This window comes from Homo sapiens, chromosome 6 (assembly GCF_000001405.40).
Source record: "Homo sapiens chromosome 6, GRCh38.p14 Primary Assembly".
NCBI lineage: Eukaryota > Metazoa > Chordata > Mammalia > Primates > Hominidae > Homo > Homo sapiens.
The window spans coordinates 163,388,830-163,406,913 of NC_000006.12; the positions used below are offsets into that span (position 1 = coordinate 163,388,830).

An 18,084-nucleotide genomic window follows, 5' to 3' on the forward strand; every position below is an offset into this window, starting at 1 on the left:
CACAAAGAACTCTGCACAATGGGCACAGGTATTGTCAAACAGACACAGGTTTCATAGTAGCGGAGAGTCACCCCAGAGAAAATTGCTCAAGAATGGAAGACTCTGCAAATAGACCTGAAAGGAAGAAGCAGAACATGTATACTAGTATAGTATCAAAGAATCTGTATTTGTGTTGTTATTCTTCTGTGGTTTCTTTAGGTAATATTCTAAAACATAGTCAACCGTGTGTGCATTATAAATAATGTATTTTGTAATTTACATTTTTCTAATTGAAAAAATTTCAGGGATCACCCCAAGTAAATCTCATGCATGATTTAACAGGTGATGAATACAATTTTATCTATTTAAAAAATCTCTGAAATAGTGCTGTTTCTCAACCAAACAGAGCTAGAGAGTGGCCTTAATCCTTGCTTCCGAACTTTCATGAGATTATAACCTACCTAGAATGGTTTGCGTTACAGGAACTGACCAAATGCAGGGAGAGAACCAGAATAACTTAGTTTACCTTTCATTGGTATCGCACTTTAAACTTTGAAAGGCCACTTTAAATCTATTCTGTAATCTGTTCCTCACATCACCACGTAAGGCAGGGGCAGGTTTTATTTTTGCCGCTTGACAGAGAGCATAATCAATTTCCTAAGGGCTCCCTCACTAGAGAGTGGCAAGAAGAAGGCCAGACCTTGGGTCAACCCTCTTTTGCGTGAGCATTTATTGCTTTCACAACCTTGTACCCTTCCTCTTTTCTGAGGACACCACCTCTCTTCTTCAGGAAGACTGCTTCTCTCACACTCTAACCATCAGGTGCAAATGATGGCTACCAATCATCCACTCCCATCCAGGGCCTCTGACCCGGGCTAAGCCAACTGGTCTCCTGGGACTCTTCAGCTGGCATCAAGCTTGGGGTAAGGAGGTGGGCAGTTTTAGCCAAGATGTTCTGTTTTGTTTTTTCTTGCAGCAAAGTTGTGAGATGTGAGGGCAGGAGTAGCTGGTGGCTTAGCATTCAGCCATATGCAGGAGGTTTGTCTGAGAAAGTGAAATAACATGCAGGGAGAAGAGAAAGGAGAAAGTCTTGTTAGCACTCCAGCCCCTGGTTCCAGTGGTTTCTAAAGCTCAGTTGCTTCCTTGCCCTTTCCATGGTTATTTGAGACTTTCAGTAAAAACCTTTTCTTTCTTTGCTTAAGCTATTTCAAGTTGACACTGTGGGAGGCCGAAGGGGGAAAACATCTGAGGTCTGGAGTTTGAGACTATCCTGGCTAACATGGCGAAACCCCCATCTCTATTAAAAATACAAAAATTAGCCCAGCATGGTGGTGGGTGCCTGTAATCCCAGCTACTTGGGAGGCTGAGGCAGGAGAATCACTTGAACCCTGGAGGCAGAGGTTGCAGTGAGCCAAGATCATGCCACTGTACTCCAGCCTGGCTGACAGAGCAAAAACAAACAAACAAACAAACAAAAGAGACAAAAAAAAAAAAAACTATTTCAAGTTGAATTTTGGTTACTTAAGAAAACAAAAGGCTGGGCTCGGTGGCTCACCCCTGTAATCTCAGCACTTTGGGAGGCTGAGATGGGCAGATCACCTGAGGTCGGGAGTTCAAGACCAGCCTGACCAACATGGAGAAACCCTGTCTCTACTAAAAATACAAAATTAGCTGAGTGTGGTGGCACATGCCTGTAATCCCAGCTACTCAGGAGGCTGAGGCAGGAGAAGCACTTGAATCTGGGAGGTGGAGGTTGCTGTGAGCCGAGATCGCACCATTGCACGACAGCCTGGGCAACAATAGCGAAACTCCGTCTCAAAAAAAGAAAAGAAAAAAGAAAAGAAAACAGTTGTAAGAAATCTATCTGTCCTCAAGGTTATGCTGCAATATCACTTCTATCCACTTCAATACCATTTTCATATGTGAAGAAATATAGGCTCATTAAAGACAAACAGGTCACCCCAAATCCTACATTGAGTTACTGGTATAATTATGTTATTCACCACTGCATGTTATTTGGATCCTATATATGTAATCAGTAAAATTTCACATCCACTACCTCCTTTGATTTTCATGACAAAATGGAAACAGATGGAACAAGCATTGTTAGCTGTAATTTTAGATGAGAAAAGTAAGGTTTAGAGAAGTGAGGTGACTTCCCCACTGTCAATCAGCCTGTGAAGAAATAGGACTTGAAGCAATGTTCATTCTAACCATACCTCATTATACATCTGTACATACACACAAACACACAGACACATGTGCACACACAGGTTCATTTCAATAAAGAATAAAAATAAAGGCCAGGCGCAGTGGCTCATGCCTGTAATTCCAGCACTTTGGGAGGCTGAGGCAGGTGGATCACGAGCTCAGGAGTTTGAGACCAGCATGGACAAAATGGGGAAACCCCGTCTCTACCAAAAATACAAAAATTAGCCAGGGGTGGTGGCGGGCGCCTGTAGTCCCAGCTACTCAGGAGGATGATGCAAAAGAATCGCTTGAACCCAGGAGACGGAGGTTGCAGTGAGCCGAGACTGTGCCACTGCACTCCAGCCTGGGCGACAGAGCGAGACTCTGTCTCAAAAAAATAAAATAAAATAAAATTTAGTGAAATCACTATCCTTCTTAAGATTTTGTTTAATAAGTGTTTTAAGGTATCGCCCATAATTATTTGCTCTTTTGCATCCTGCCAAAATATGGGTGTAGGAACCACCTGGCTTTTCTGCAGTTCTAATTGGTATAAAATATTTTCCATTATCTTGAGACTTGATAAAATATAAATAGCTTGTACTTTGTCTCTCTTGGTTTTGATACCTAATGGAATGTGAAAAGGCAAGATGACACATAAAAAGAGAGCAAAAGATAATTAATGCAAAGATTAATTTTGGGAAACCTCCAGAATTACATCATGTGATTAGTTCACAGTTTAGAAGCCTTTGGTGGAATTACATTCATGCAAACAAATTCCATTCACATAGTTCAGGGAAGCTGAATGATTTTATAGATGAATTATCCTTAAAATGTAAGGTTATGTAAGTCTTACTCCTCATTTTCTTCCTGATATCGAGCTTAAACAGTCAAGAAAAGCCAAGATCTGGCACTCAGTTTTTTATGGAAAAATCGATGGCAGATACTAAAATGGTGGAAAGAAGGCTGCCACTAAGCTAAAGTACAGCAACTTTTTAAATGACATAAATGCTCCTTGAAGGCAAGTAGCCAAGGTTGGTAGTCTCCAAATGTCATCTGTGCTGGTTTCCATGTCTTTGTGCAATGCTGTACAGGGGTGAACTGAGTAAAAGGCTAGAATGGATCTGTGGTTTTCAAGTTGCATTTTTGTTGTTGTTGTTTTAGGGAGTGACACATACAAAACTATTAAAGGTGGACATAGTAGGAGTCAGGGAGGGAATGCGGAAGCCCAGGGCTCTTCCATAGCCTCCAGGTGAAATGAGTTCTGTGACTCACTTGAAGTGTTTATGACACAATATTAGCTGCCTTTACCATACGCTTAAATATTGATTACAGTAAAATGATTGTAACATAAAACATCACTCAGTGGGACTCCTTCCTTAGGTTATGAAAATTCAGATTTAAGATTCAACTATGTAGATAACACAATAAACCAAAAATAATTAAGCGAACTCATTACAAATTTGGAAAATAAAATGTTTGTTTGTTTGTTTGTTTTTTCCTCCAGCTGAATTGACTGGTTGTTTGTCGGTATGGACAAAATAAAATGATTATTTCATTGTGAGAATACTTCTTGGACAGCTTCTCCCATTTACAAGCCAACTCTTTTCAGACGAGCTTGTACACGTACACACTGTCAGAGAACAGAGGAAGACAGGTCAGGGTAGTTTTGAATTTGGCATTTAGCCAGTAAACTTTTAATTTCATTTTGGATTCAGGCTTAGCTGTGAAACATGTATGTCTCAGTCTAGGGCAGTAACAGTTTCAGGCTGGAGAAATCTCACAATGCATAACTGCCACTCCCAGTGTCTCCATGGAAACAGCTGGGGGCTGGTCTGCCAGTTCCTATCATGTTTGAGAACCATGTGTAATCACTTTGGAATAGGCAGTATTTTTAAACTTTGCAGTGAGTTGGGTGAAAGCTTCAGGGATCAAATATTTGAAAATGTCTGAGGAGTAAAAATCATGCCATGAGATAAAGCTTTGTGAGAAAGAGACAACGCAAAACGGTCACTTTTAATATTTCAATTCTGAGTTAAGACTTCATATAGATATTTTCATTTATTCCTTGCCATTTTAATACAGATTCGGATAGGTTCTTGTTTGAGAAAAGAGGTTCTGCAAAGCTTTTCTACTTACATGAAACTCCATGGTAATGACGCTGTACTGGAAAAAAGAGAGGTTAGATAAAAGATGAGGTCTCCAAGTTTTAGAGTGAAAATGCTAAATGTTGCTTAGATTTTGTGTGTATTTAGTTGTATTTAAAAAGGTAAATGAGAAATCATTTGTATACTGGTTTCTGAAAGATATATTTGAGTTTATTAAAACTTTCAGATTTTTTGTACTTTACTCAATGCATGACTATTTCACTGAAATTCTCACGTTTTTGTTTTGGTGTCAGGAGAGGCACTGTTTTGACAGTATTTGCACATGGGATTTACCTCCATCCTTGGATATATTTCTGTGACACCAGAGCAGTTTCCATGAAGGCCCTGGAAGGGAAATTTTCAATCAACAAACAGCAAAGGAGCCCACTGACCATGGGCACACTTTTTTTCTTAACAAATATTATTGCTGATGTCTTATCACATAATCAACTCATTATAGAAATTACGGCTAAGCAAAATAAAATGAAACCACACTAATAAGATAAAAATTCTATGTTTTTCTATTTAAAATAAAAATATTACTATAACTTTACCCTTTCATGATTATTTACATAAAATAAATTCCCAGAAGTGAAATTATAGCCCCCCAACACAACCTAAATCTTTTGATAACTATTACCAAACTGCCTTGCAGAAATCTCCTATCAATTTATAGTATTATCATCAGTATATGAGAATGTCTGTTTCCTCTCCTTGTTAACCATGGATAATATAATTAAAACATACTTTTCCATTTTATAGGTAAAAAAATAGTTTTGTGTTAGTTTCATTTTCATGGATAAACTTCGACACTGAACAAAGTTTGTCCCCAGCTCCCTCTGCCCTGCTGGTCATTTCTCTTGTGTGCTACCTTACACCTCCCCATTCCCTAAAAAAACCCCTGTATCTTGGCTTTCAGGGAACCCTATTCCAGTACATTCTAGTATGTGCCTCCACAGAACACTGTTGCAAGGGCCTGACCTTTTCCTTCCTTTGTGGATTCTGTGTTTTAAAACAGAGCTGGGATGGGCGTGGTGGCTCACGCCTGTAATTCCAGCACTTTGGGAGGCAGAGACAGGCAGGTCGCTTGAGCTCAGGAGTTTCAGACCAGCCTGGGCAACATGACAAAACTGCAACTCTACAAAAATACAAAAATTAGCCAGGTTTGGTGATGTGCGCCTGTAGTCCCAGCTACTCGGGAGACTGAGGCAGGAGGATCACTTAAGCCTGGGAGGCAATGGCTGCAGTAAACCATGATTGTGCCACTGCACTCCAGTCTGGACAACAGAGCAAGACTCTGTCTCAAAAACAAACAAACAAACAAAAATGAAAAACAAAAAACAGCCTTCTTTTTTCTTTCCTGCTCAGGTTATTCCAACCTCTAATTTTAGTCAGAGGTTAGCACTTGATAATGCCATCCACCCAGAAGATATATATGTATATATATACTCACATATATACTATCTATATATTAAAGGTTAATAACTTTAATTAACTCAGCAAAATTAAACTTTAATTTTAATTCTTAAAATTTCCATGACTAATATTTTTGTTAAAAGAATTAAAGTCCACTGGCTCGGAACATATTTTTAGCCAAGAAAGCCTTCTTGGAGACCCTCAGCTTACTCCACGCAGATCAGGACCATCCACTGTGCACGGTTAAAAGGCCAACTCCACCGTTTTCTGTTGAGTGTCAGCTGGGAGGAAGCCAGTCTCTGTCTAGACCTGTTGATGGATGTGGGGTGGTCCCTTCACACAAGGCAGCAATGCCTACCCCAGAGCCAGGAGCCACTTGAAGTGTGGGACACAGTTGAGCTCAGTAATCCACCATCAGTAGAGGTAATAGTTCTGTTTATGTATAGATATTTATTTATGCATAAAATGATGACTAAGAGTGTGTGTGTGCATTTAATTTACTTGATCAAAGCCATCCAACATTCACACAAAAATATTTACTGAATACCCCCACTGATTCCCAGAGTTTTCTACAAAATGCCCTTCTGAAATACCTTCCAAGCAATGCATTACCTCCCCCAGGAGGAATCTGGAACAATTTTTTGAACTCTTTCACTAACTTTTTCTTTAAAAAATGTAGATACAGTTTTCTTTAAACTTAGATAGAGCCAGGTACCTATTCATTCAGACAAGTCAGTAATAAATGACTAGGAAATAACGCTGAGTATGACAATTCCCTGTCAGTGTAGCAGATGAAAGAAAACACTTTCTGTGTGAACATTCCATCTTAGTTTTTATTGATGAAACATAAAGACACCTTGGTTGTAAGCTAAGAATGTGTAATGCTGATTACAACAATAGTTACATAAATAGACCAGAGTCGGTTATTTATGTGGACTTCAAATAACAGATTTTGTTTGGAGTGGGGTCTGGGATGGAGAATAGAGTACGTTCTGTACTTTCATGTGAAAGAAATATTATCAACAACTAATTTTCAGTTTGTCACAAAATGCATAGGGAAGCCTTCCGTATGCTTCAGGGAAGTTGGAGATTTATTTCTGCTTTGCCTCCCTTCAGCTAGAGAAGCAGTGTGGGCCTGAAGCAGGATTTCCCAATCTTTTTGTACCCTGTGAGGATGGATGAAGAGAGCTACGCTAATTATTCATTGCTTGAATCAAGAAGGAATTTTTGAAAATAACAAAATCTTCATATTTTAGTATATTAAGATCTAGAAATGAAAACCAGTATCCGTTGATGGGTTATATTAAAAAAACACACACACAGAAAAAATACACTTTTCAACCTACTGTCATGATACACAAATTTGAAAGTTAGTGACAGAGCCCTGGGCCCTTCCGGACCAGGGTCTGATGGGCTGCTTGGGCATTCTGTGTTCACTGAGAACAGAAAGGAAGGGGCAGGCGAGGGAGATGATTAAAGGTTGGAAAGATGACTGTTGCTGGCAGTGTGATATTAAGGCCATTAACTGAGGTGTCTGCACCTCAGTTCCAGTGTGCTAATATATTATCCTATCTGTTAAAATATCATAAAGATTACCTATAATTAAAGATGATTTACACTGTAAGCCATAACTCGATATAATTTCATGCAAACACATTTAGGGTGAATTCATCTTAAAGTGGAATTTAGCTAGCCTAATGAAAACAGCATCTAAAAGCCACAGAAGAGACAGAGGGAAAAAGACAGCGAAAACGGCGGTATAATACAAACCCTAACAACTCCTTCTGGGATCCAGACTCACATGATCTGTGGTGAAGGAATTTGCCTAAAGCCCTGCTTAAACAAACTATTGATGAGTTCTTTATTTTCAAATTTACAACTTATTTCCAACATTTAAACTCTGTCCTTAACTTTTTCTTCACCACTGGGAAGAGCCAGGCCAGGCAGTTCTGCGTTTGCAATGGCCTTGTCTTATTTTACATTGGGACTGACTGGAAACAACAGTTAGATTTGCAACTCCAGAAAGCAAAGATGAAACTTTGTACTTTCTTTTGTATCAAGCTGTACCATTTATTTCTCCCCTGGCAACAGATTTCAAATCTCTCCTCCTCCCCCTCTCTCCTTCCTTCCTTTTCATGGGAACTGCTTGGTGAGTGCCGAAGGAGGATCTGACAAAGCTGATTGTGTGTGTGTGTGTGTGTGTGTGTGTGTGTGTGTGTGTGTGCAGGTGCGTGTGTGTGTGCATGTGCGTGCCTGGTTTCTGTGTCGGTGTGTGCAGGCACGCATTAATTAACGTAATTCCTCAACATCCAACAAGAGCGCATCAGAAACCCGGGAGAAAAAGCCTCATGCATATTTAGATGAGACTTCTACCTTCCAACCGGCGTGAAAAGAGTATTTAGAGGGGAGTTGGTCTGGGCTAATCTGCATGTGAATCAGGGGGGTGGACAAAAGGATGAAAAGGTGGTGGAAACTCGAACACAAACCCTGCGGTCTCCAGGGGGTCATTCATCTTGCCCCGGTCGACATCCTCGCGGCCTGGCTTCCTTCTGCGCATGAGCGAACAGAGCCTTTTCCCAAAGACAGTTGGCAAAGGGTGCGTGTGCTTTGTTCTGTCGGGCACTTTTTTAAGAAACAAAATTTCTTTACCCGTTCTATTTGACTGACTTCTTCAGGCTTCTTAGCTGCTGCTATCCATAGGAATGATGCAACTATTATTTAGTAATTTATACAAATATACAAGACAGAAATTCATTGTGATAAAATATACTTAAAAATTACCATATGACCATTTTAAAGTGTACAATTCATTGGCATTAACTACATATACAATGTTGTGTAACCATCACCAACGATTTCCAGAACTTTGTCATTATCCCCAGCAGAAATCCTGAATACTTTAAACAGGAACTCCCAGCCCTCCCCTCCCCACAACATGAACAAGATTGATTAGGACTCTGTTCTTAGAGACTCTTCACGGAGTTAGTCTCCTGACATTTGATTTCGGAGGAGCTGGGGTGTGCAGAGCAAGGGAGAGTGAAGGAAGCCAAAGTTCAACAGATGAGAGGAGGGTAGGAAAGTCTTTTTTCCTTAGCGTGGTTTCACTGGAATAATGAACTCAGAGCCTGGAGATGAATATGGAGAAAGAAAACCTCAATGTCAAATGGCCAGGCTGGTTTTCACCAGCATGAAAGACGAGGAGAGTGACAAAGTTAAGCAACTTTTGAAAATTTTCTATTTTGATAAGGGATTGGTTTATACAAGTAAGAATTTCAAAATAAAATCCAAAACAAAATTAAAAAATACAAGCCTGGTATTCTAGTGTTTGAGACACAAGTGGAATATACACTTTACAGAACTAGCCCATCAAATATTTGGGGATAGCCTGTATTTAATCAAAAGACTAAAGCGAAGGCTGGGAGGATAGTCTGTATAACTAATGGTAAAAATTAATTTATGTTTCTGATTTTGTAAATCTCTGGGGTTGCAACTATGTTGCTTTAAATGAAAAACAGATAAAAATATCATTAATTAAATTCTAGTACAAGGAAACACATTGTGAAGGAAATTTGCAGATTTCCAAACTCCCCAAATTCACCATTTACTTTTAAAAATCTTTAATAGGACAAAAGTTCAGCACAATAAAACAAAGGGGCAGTTCTACTGAGTTTGTGCTAATGGGACCTTGTTTGTTCTAGTGTATATAGCAAGACTCCTTTCCTAAGAAGGAGTATTATCCATGGAGACCACGTGTGAGTGACTAATACTCTTCTCCCCTCAGTGGAAGCCATGCCTGTTACAGTCACTGATTATTTAAGGAATTTTAATATTTTATGTAATGTGAAGATGAGATTATCGAGACAGCTCTCAAGGCAGGTGTTAGAGGGAGTGGGGCTGAGGCCCAGGGAACTGGAGGTAATGGGCAAAGCTGGTAAGTTGGGAAGTACTGGGAAAACTGGCTTTAATCAGCTTAAACACAAAGGAGGCTTATTACCCAGGTAACTGAGGAAGGTGAATCAAACATTAATGGATGCTGGAGTTGAAACGACGCCCTAAGGAACTGTTCTTCCACATTGGCTCTGCTTCCCCTGTGCTGGCTTCTTTCTTTGAAAGAATCCATAGGATATCTGCATCCTCTAAAGCCAGCAATCTCACCCAAAAGGAGAGATCCCCTTCTCCTGAATGCTTCAGCAATAATTGATTAGGCCACAATAACTGATTATGGGTCAAGAGGCTGCCCCAGAACTGATCATGTGGCCAATGGCTCGGAGCCTCGGCTGTGTGTGCACTGCCTGCCAACTTGGTGGTGCAGAAATTAAGCCACAGCAAATCATGTTGTAGATTCTCACATAAGAGAGGGAGTTTCTTACGGGGAGGAGGAGGAGGAAGTAGAACCTGCTGAGCAGACCACAGCTGTATCTCCCACAAGGCACTGCAAGGCTGGCCCTTCCCTGAGCTCTGGACACACACGTGTTAGTAAAAGCTGGCTAGGCTGCTCGCCAAGTGTGTGAAGGCTTGTTTCTTATTTACGCAACGGAACCGTGCAGTGGACGGGCCTGAAGGATGACCTTCTCCATGCTCTCATTTTGGGACTCACATCTTCAACACATCTCCTTTCCCTCTAGCCTGAATGAGACAGCTGATGGTGAAGGCAGGGGCCGGATTTGTAGGCCAGGCTGGAAGGAGTACAGCTCCTATTCCACTGGCTGGCACTCAGACACATGGCCATATGGGAGGTGGGAAATGGAAATAGTTATGTGCCCAAGAGCAAGAGAAAACCAATTTTGAACTGCTATCAATCTTTGCCTCTTCCCACTACTCTGCAAATGGGTCAAAAATCTAGAGGCACTTGGCCAGGCGTGGTGGCTCACGCCTGTAATCTCAACACTGGGAGGCTGAGGCAGGCGGATCACCTGAGGTCAGGAGTTCGGGACCAGCTTGACAAATATGGTGAAACATCGTCTTTACTAAAAATACAAAAATTAGGTGGGCGTGGTGGTGGGCACCTGTAATCCTAGCTACTCTGGAGACTGAGGCAGAAGGATTGGTTGAACCCGGGAGGCAGAGGTCGCAGTGAGCCGAGACCGTGCCACTGCACTCCAGCCTAGGTGACAGAGGGAGACTCCATTTCAAACAAACAAACAAACAAAAAACTCTAGAGGCATGTGCAGTGGCACACGAATAGCAGTTACTGAGTTCTTACCACGTGTTGGTGACTGTTCTAAGGGCTCTGCATATATTAACTCCCATCGCCCCCTTATCAACCTGTGAGGTGGGCTGGGCATCCCCTTTGGAAGATGAAGAAACAGAGGCACAGTGAGGTTACTTGCCCAAGGGCCAACGTAGAAACTGTTTGGAGCCGGGATTTGACACAGAACGAGATGACCACACAGGATTACTTTTGAGAGGACTGCGTGAGATGATGTTTGAAAGGCCCAGATTGTGCCGGGCACATGGAAAGCGCTCAAACAGTGCGAGTCATATTATTAATATGTTCCTCAGGTGAAGCACTGTGCCGCGAAGGAAGGCTGTTCTGGAGGTAGAGCTTTGAAGCTGAAAGACGGATGTTCACAGAAGCAGGCTCCATAATGTTGTTCTCTACTGAGTCTGCATGACTACTAAGGAGACTAGATCCACAGATTAAATTAGAACAACTGTTGTACCAGCCCAGGGCCATGGAGGGCACGACCAGCCATCCCCGCTGACTGCACCCACGGTTTCCCCGGGCAAGACCTTCTTTCCTCCTTCCCCCTGTGGCAATTCCCTTCTGGTCTTGTCCAGTCTGACTCTTGTCAGCTCCTCTAGGAGTCTTCTCTCCACAGCCTCTCCCTGTTCTAGTCCTCAGGTGGAGTTAGTTGCTTCTCATCCAACATTCCCACAGGAGACCAAGGATAGTCCCATTGCAAGACCTAGCTCATTGCTCTGTAATTTTTGGTACTTGCCCTCTTTACCACTCTGCAGAATTCCTGGAAGGCAGAGACAATTACTTCCCGTTGTACCCCCAATGCCTCACATTGTGCATGATGAAAGGAGGCAGTCTAAAGGTAGTCTATTTTTTTAAGAAAGAATAAAAATCAGTGAGCAGATTGATTTTTTAAAAAAGACATTAATAAGAATTATAATAAGAACCAGTTTTTATTGAGCAATCACTGTATTCCAGGCATAGGTCGGGGGTTATCATTGCCCAATGTCATCCTCATGGTAGCATGATAAAATGGGCATTATTATGTAAACCAAAAAGTTTTGGAGACAGGTCTCAATCAATTTAGAAGTTTATTTTCCCAAGGTTAAGGACATGCCCAGAAGAAATAAACATGGAATCACAGAAACAATCTGTGGTGTGTGCCTTTCTCCAATCTTGATTTTGAGGGCTTCAATATTTAAAGGGGAAAAGAGAAAAGGAGCAGGTAGGGGAATCGTCGTTACGTATTCCTCTCTACTCAGTAAATCGTGCTCAGTAAATTGGCAATTTATGTAACATAAGGTGAACACTGAGAAGCTACCTGTGGAGATGTTGAAGCTTTTATCTGTAGCTCTCTGCTTAGGAACAAAAGGAAAGGCCGCATCTTGCATGACTCAGCTTTCAGCTTAATTTTTCTTTTGGCAGAGTGAATTGTGGTCCCGATTTTTAATTTCCCTTTCACAATTAGCATCCCCATTTTGCAGCTGAGAAGACTGAGGACGGCTGAGCTCAAGCTGCCTGCCCGATGGCACCCAGTCGAGACACAGCTTTTCCCCATTGTGCTGTATTGCCTCACTGGGCCAATTTAAATTCAACAACAGAGACCCACATCGTGCTGTACGCTAGAGGCACAGAGCTATCAGGGAGGAACACGGAAGACAAGTGCAAGGGAACAATGGCCCGGAGGGGACATCTTTGTGGGGGAGGGGTAGGAGGGCAGAGCCCTAAGACCTCAACCAAGAGGTCTCCATGATGGACCCTGGTGGCAAACTGAAGGTCAAAACAAGTAGCCTAAAGCCCAAGGGAGAGGCCTTTGTAGGGGAGAAGGAGAAGTGTCTTCTTTGTTAAAGGGTCAGGGATTGGGCCTGGACCCAAGAGCTAGGCACAGCTCGGTAACAGCAAACGTGCGCAGACCAACCTCTAGCTACACAAAAGATGAATAAGAATGCTTCGGAAATATTCAAAGCAGTTGACCCAGGTCTCCATTGAAACATAAATGAGGTCAAGCTCTGGGAACCACTGCTGGTAGTTTTTTCAGATTCTTTAGCAACCTTGTAATTTTCCCAATGTCGGTAATTTTTAAAACTCTTTGACCTTTCTATAACCAAAACTCCTATGTCCTTTTTCTAATTTGTGTTTGTTTTGGAGGCAGCAGGGATGAGGAGAGATTGGGGAAGCTGTGCCTGGCTCTGCAGTGGGCCCTGGAAGAGGCTGGCAGAGACACTGGGTGCAGTAGGCACCTCCATGCTGGGGGCTGGCCGAGGAGAAAAGAGACAGGTGGGAGGGGGCTGGGTGGATGGCAGCTCCCTGGAGACGCCATAGGACACAGGGGATGGACACAGTTCTTTTTAGACTCCCAGCACTTCACTCTTAGCCCCAAGGAGGATCTGTGTCATATAGAAATTCGTGGTAGCATTAGGGAGAAGCCGCGCACTTACCTCTTTATCACAAGTGCAGTTTAAATTAAATTAGGAAGGAGAGACTACAAGCTTTGCAAAGCTCCCTTGTAAGAATCTGGGGATCAGAGACACTTGACAGCTGAAATCACCTGAGGCTTGTTATTGCCAAGGGTGAGCACGGGTTCCTGAAATAGTTGGTTGAAACTGCTGGGCCCAGGAAGCTTCTGGTTACCGTGCAGGTCAGGCCCAGGTAGAGCAAACGGTGAAGTTCACTTAGTAGGAAGGTTTCTCCCCAGCTCTGGGGCTTCCTGTTGATTCTTAAAGGGGAAAAATATATGGTGAATGACAAAGATTTTTAGTTTTGTGATGTCGACCAGTAATTTAATTCAATTCCAATAAGAAATAAATAACAGATCCAAGGACCCTCTTATTTTGAAATGTTTTCTAATATTTTCCAGTGGTTAGCATTACTCAGAACCAGGGTATTTTCTTTAACAATTCAGATCTTGCAAATGATTTCAAATGGGGCACAGAATCTGAAGCTGCCTGGCACCAACACGAACTCTAGGACATAAAGGAGGGCTGGACCTGCCTGACACTATGGGGTGGAAAAACAAGCTAGACCTTGAGCCGGCAGGGCAAGAACTGGTGCACAGGCCATGAAATACTGTGTGCGTGTGTGCGTGTGTGTGTGTATGCGTGTGTGTGTGTGTATGCGTATGTGTGTGTGTTTAGAAAACTTTTGAAAAGCAAAACTGCTTTTAGGTTCACTTTCCAGCAAAGGAGAATTTTTTTTTGGTGGGGGGGAAGGGAGGACAATTTCCTTTATCGAAATTTTTTCCTTTGCTCTCTTTTTCCTCATGTAATCCCTATTTCCTTTCTTGAATGAATGCTGTAAAGATAAAGTTGAGACTATGGAATACAATGTCAAATGAAGGGTAAATAACAATGAGAAATTGTATGTTAGCAATATTTTTTTTTTTGAGATGAGGCCTCGCTCTGTTGCTCAGGCTAGAGTGCAGTGGCGTGATCTCGGCTCACTGCAGCCACCACCTACTTGGTTCAAACGATTCTCCTGTCTTAGCTTCCTGAGCAGCTGTGATTACAGGCACCCGCCACCCACGCCCAGCTAATTTTTGTATTTGTAGTAGAGATGGGTTTTGCCATGTTGGCCAGGCTGGTCTCGAACTCCTGACCTCAAGTGATCCACCTGCCTTGGCCTCCCAAAGGGCTGGGATTACAGGTGTGAACCATCACGCCCAGCCGGTAAGTTGGCAATTTTTTAAAAAGCTGTATTAAGATGCTAGGAAAGTCTTACATCCAGGAAGTTCGACAGTAGACATCAAGAACAAGGTTATGGGGTGTTCATGTTGCACTCATATGCATATGTTATATTATACATAAGAAATTCTATCACATCACACCAGCAGGTTTCAAGTTTAGCGTAACTCAGGGCCCCTCAGAAACTCTGCATGGAGAGGCTGTGGGGAGGATGGGAAAGGACCCACAGACCACGATGAGGACAGAGAGAATGGGAGAGGGCTGAGGCAGGAGCTGCTGAACTTGAGGCTTGAGGCGGGGGAAGCACGAAGAGGGAAGGCTTTGTGCTGAATTCAGATTTGTGTGGCTTACTAAGTGAACGGCAGCTCAGTGCTGTGATGGTGATCTTGCTTCGGAGAAATCTGGTGTGAAAACAGATCATCTAAGTTTTTGCTGTGGTCTCTGGCATTACCTTTACTTAGTGCATTATCACTGCACACAAGGTACACAATAAGTCACTTTTGTAAAAATAGATTTCAAGAGGAAAATTCTTACCAAGTTCCTTATAATGTCAGGGATTCAATTATAGTTCAGACTGAAGCACGTCCCCAGGTATCTATTGGTAATGTGTCGCCCTCTTGGTGAGCAAGAAAACATATGATGCAAATAGAAATTTTGTTCAAGATTAGTATTACAATGGGGTATGTGATTCGCGGTGAAGCAAGACTCATAATTGAATCCCAGAAAGGTTTATTTGAAAGCTTTTTCCTTTCAACTACCTTGATTTAATTGTGTGTGTCCTGGCCTTCATTTGGAGATGAGGCTCTGAAAGCCACTTTGTTACCTTGAAAACCACTGAGAGAAAGTCCTGACTCCATTGGTAAGTTTTCTGGAGGCTACAGGTGTGGCCCAGGGCTGGGAGGTGGTGACAAGACTAGGAGGTGCAGAAGTCATAATTTTAAGGACCTAATCTCGTTGAAGCGAAATTTCTAGGGGGTTACCAGGAGAGATGAAGCTGATTTCAAGGCACGTGCAGGGAAGGTAGAAGGAGCCACTGCTGTCTAGCTGCTTCCTGCATGATCTAGTAAAACAAACTTGCAGAAGCCACTAGTGAAGTACGTATATTTTTGTCTCTCCACTTTCAGATTTTAGGTGATTCAAAATAAGGGCTATGTTTTCCCATGGTATCTGATTAAAGCTTGTTGCTATTGCTTTCCAAGTATCTAGTGAAGTAAGCCAAAAGCATGGTTTGCTGAGTGGGCAGGTGGGGCAGACCCCCTTCTGGCTCCTTCACTCTCCTACACTGCTGCGGTGGCCACCTCGGGGCAGGGATTGGAGAAAGCCCTTGAGCTGGCATAATGCAGCCCAACAGTTGCTTGGACATCACAGTTTAAACCCTGGGTTAGCCCACAACTCTCTGTGCTAGAATATCATCATGGAATCTAACAGGCGTGGTGAGCTCCTGGACCTTCCGGAAGACGGGATCTCCTAAGCTCCCTCCACTAACTGCCAGGCCCACTGTTTCTAGGGCAGGCGCAGGAGGGAGGCAGCCTCTCCTTTTCCACTTGGTCCTGCAATGACACAGTGGCTTTCAACACTGGGTCTTGGTGGCGACCCCTGGCCAGCTTTAGAGCAAGTGTTGTTGCTGCTGACAATGGGGCCAGCCCAGGACTGAGGCTCCTTTTCATCAGGCTGTTTGTCCCTTTACGTCCTAGTGTCAGCAGTCCTGGGAACAGGAAACGGTTTGTGCAATAGGAAGCAGCAGAAAACTGATGACTGAATACTTTTGAGCTTTGTGGAGAAAATTTCAACGTAGAGAGATTGCACACATCCCAAAATACGTGTGTACGAACTGGAGCCCTATCCAGGCCTCCTTTTCAATTCTTAAAATGATGCTATTTATTGAAAGCTTACCATGTCCCAGGCATGCAGTGAGGCACCCATGCCATCCTAACATCCTTATGCTGCACCACCTTACCTTACAGGCAAGAAAAGAGAGGTGCAGAGAGTTTACGTTGCTTTTAGCAAGTGACAGGGTCGAGATTTGAACCTGGGACCTCTTCAGTGACTTTTCTGGATCCTCCTGCTCTGCAGCTGCCTCGGAGGACCAGCAAATTCTTCAGGAAAAATGTTTCAGGACTTTCCGTCCTTGTTTCAGGACCGTTCCTCTGCATTATCTGTGAGAAGCGTTTCTATAGTCTTGGCACATAGTTATGCTGTGGGGCTAAGGTATTATTATTTCATATTTCAGTGCAGAAGGAAGTACTTATTAAAAGGCCCCAAACCAGTTGTCTGAGCCTAGAGATGAAAGGCCTCCTTCCCGCACCGGCCTGGGTGCTGAGTGGCCCTGACGCCAGGCCAGCCTGCCACTTACAGTCTGAGACTTGTGTCTGCTCCCTCTTCCCAAACACAGAGGCAGGGCCTGGCTGGGGCCATCTGATGAAGTGCCAGTGTGCCTTCATGAAATCAGGCATGGGACTGACTGAAAAGCTGAAATCTGGTGAGCTGAGGGGGAGGAGAAGGTCAAGTCTGGCTGTCGGTCTACAGAGGTCAAGGACCTGGCACAGAGCAGGGCCTGCTGCCTCTGCCACCAACAGCCAGGCACCCAGAGAGGAACTGGAGGAGAAGGCGGCTCGCTGCTGGCAGGTCAGCTGATGGGAGAGTTTACAAGACTGTCTTTGAACTCCTCGCATGCAAGCCCTTCTTCTCCTTCCTGATTCACATTTAAGTTTGCGTTCCTGATCCCCTCACATTCTTTCTGCTCCTTTAACAGCTTCACCTGGACACAGAAAGGACAGAGGCAGGAGCAGGGCCACGTCCCTCTGTCGATCACAGCTTTAGCTTTCAGTTTCTCACGGCTGCTTAATTCCCAGCTCACACTATCAATATAGGGCACGCATTTTAAAACTGTTAAATAAAAACAGCTGCTCATTTCACTATGCCACATTTTCTTTCCAACTCAAAAGGATGCTCACTACCAATGGATACTGAGAAAAATACAGTGTCATTAATGTCAGTTAATCAAGTTGGTGGTCCTTGAAGATCTATAAAATGTAACTGTAACACATTTTACAGATTGGCTTAGACAGAATAACTAGGAAATAATAAATGCTAGCATCATCAGTATTACTTGTACAGCTCAGCAAAGGAACGCAAATGGCTACACAGGACTGGGGAAGAACAGAACAGAGATATTTCTTTGTGTGAAATACAGAGTTTATCATAAGGAGGAGAATGAATCACTTTTCATCTCTGGCAGCAACCTGTTTTTTTAACATATTATTTATGGAAAATAGAAAGCAAAACTGAAGCCTTTGGTATTTCATTGCCACTGGATAAATGTCATTTGTATAAACCTTTCTAAATTTGGATATATACCCAAAGAACCTACATGTATCTTAGACAAAAAACTATCCACTTTCATTACATTTAGTAAAAACTCATAAGCCCAGGATTAATGGACATAAAGATATGAAATAAAATAATTTTCTAAATATGCAAAGAAGCCCATACA

General features: G+C 42.7%; 1 long non-coding RNA gene across 2 annotated transcripts, besides 4 other annotated features; it reads right to left on the reverse strand.

The window, feature by feature from the left end:
- Positions 1-582: 582 nt before the first annotated feature.
- On the reverse strand, positions 583-4,819 carry LOC105378100 (uncharacterized). Of its 2 annotated transcripts, XR_943208.3 has the most exons (4): positions 4,306-4,819; positions 3,023-3,799; positions 1,983-2,089; positions 583-1,023 (listed from the first exon to the last, which is right to left on the reverse strand). It is a non-coding gene; the product is annotated as an uncharacterized LOC105378100 (long non-coding RNA). The 2 variants fall into 2 exon arrangements; XR_943207.3 differs by lacking the exon at positions 3,023-3,799.
- Positions 3,788-4,082: a silencer, noted in NCBI's record as "tiled region #14773; HepG2 Repressive non-DNase unmatched - State 10:DNaseD". NCBI's record gives its function as "represses a minimal TATA promoter and a strong SV40 promoter by Sharpr-MPRA in HepG2 cells {active_cell/tissue: HepG2}" and the evidence as "EXISTENCE:reporter gene assay evidence [ECO:0000049][PMID:27701403]".
- Positions 16,856-16,925: an enhancer, noted in NCBI's record as "active region_25416". NCBI's record gives its function as "activates an Ori minimal core promoter by ATAC-STARR-seq in GM12878 lymphoblastoid cells {active_cell/tissue: GM12878}" and the evidence as "EXISTENCE:reporter gene assay evidence [ECO:0000049][PMID:35858748]".
- Positions 16,936-17,115: an enhancer, noted in NCBI's record as "active region_25417". NCBI's record gives its function as "activates an Ori minimal core promoter by ATAC-STARR-seq in GM12878 lymphoblastoid cells {active_cell/tissue: GM12878}" and the evidence as "EXISTENCE:reporter gene assay evidence [ECO:0000049][PMID:35858748]".
- Positions 17,346-17,535: an enhancer, noted in NCBI's record as "active region_25418". NCBI's record gives its function as "activates an Ori minimal core promoter by ATAC-STARR-seq in GM12878 lymphoblastoid cells {active_cell/tissue: GM12878}" and the evidence as "EXISTENCE:reporter gene assay evidence [ECO:0000049][PMID:35858748]".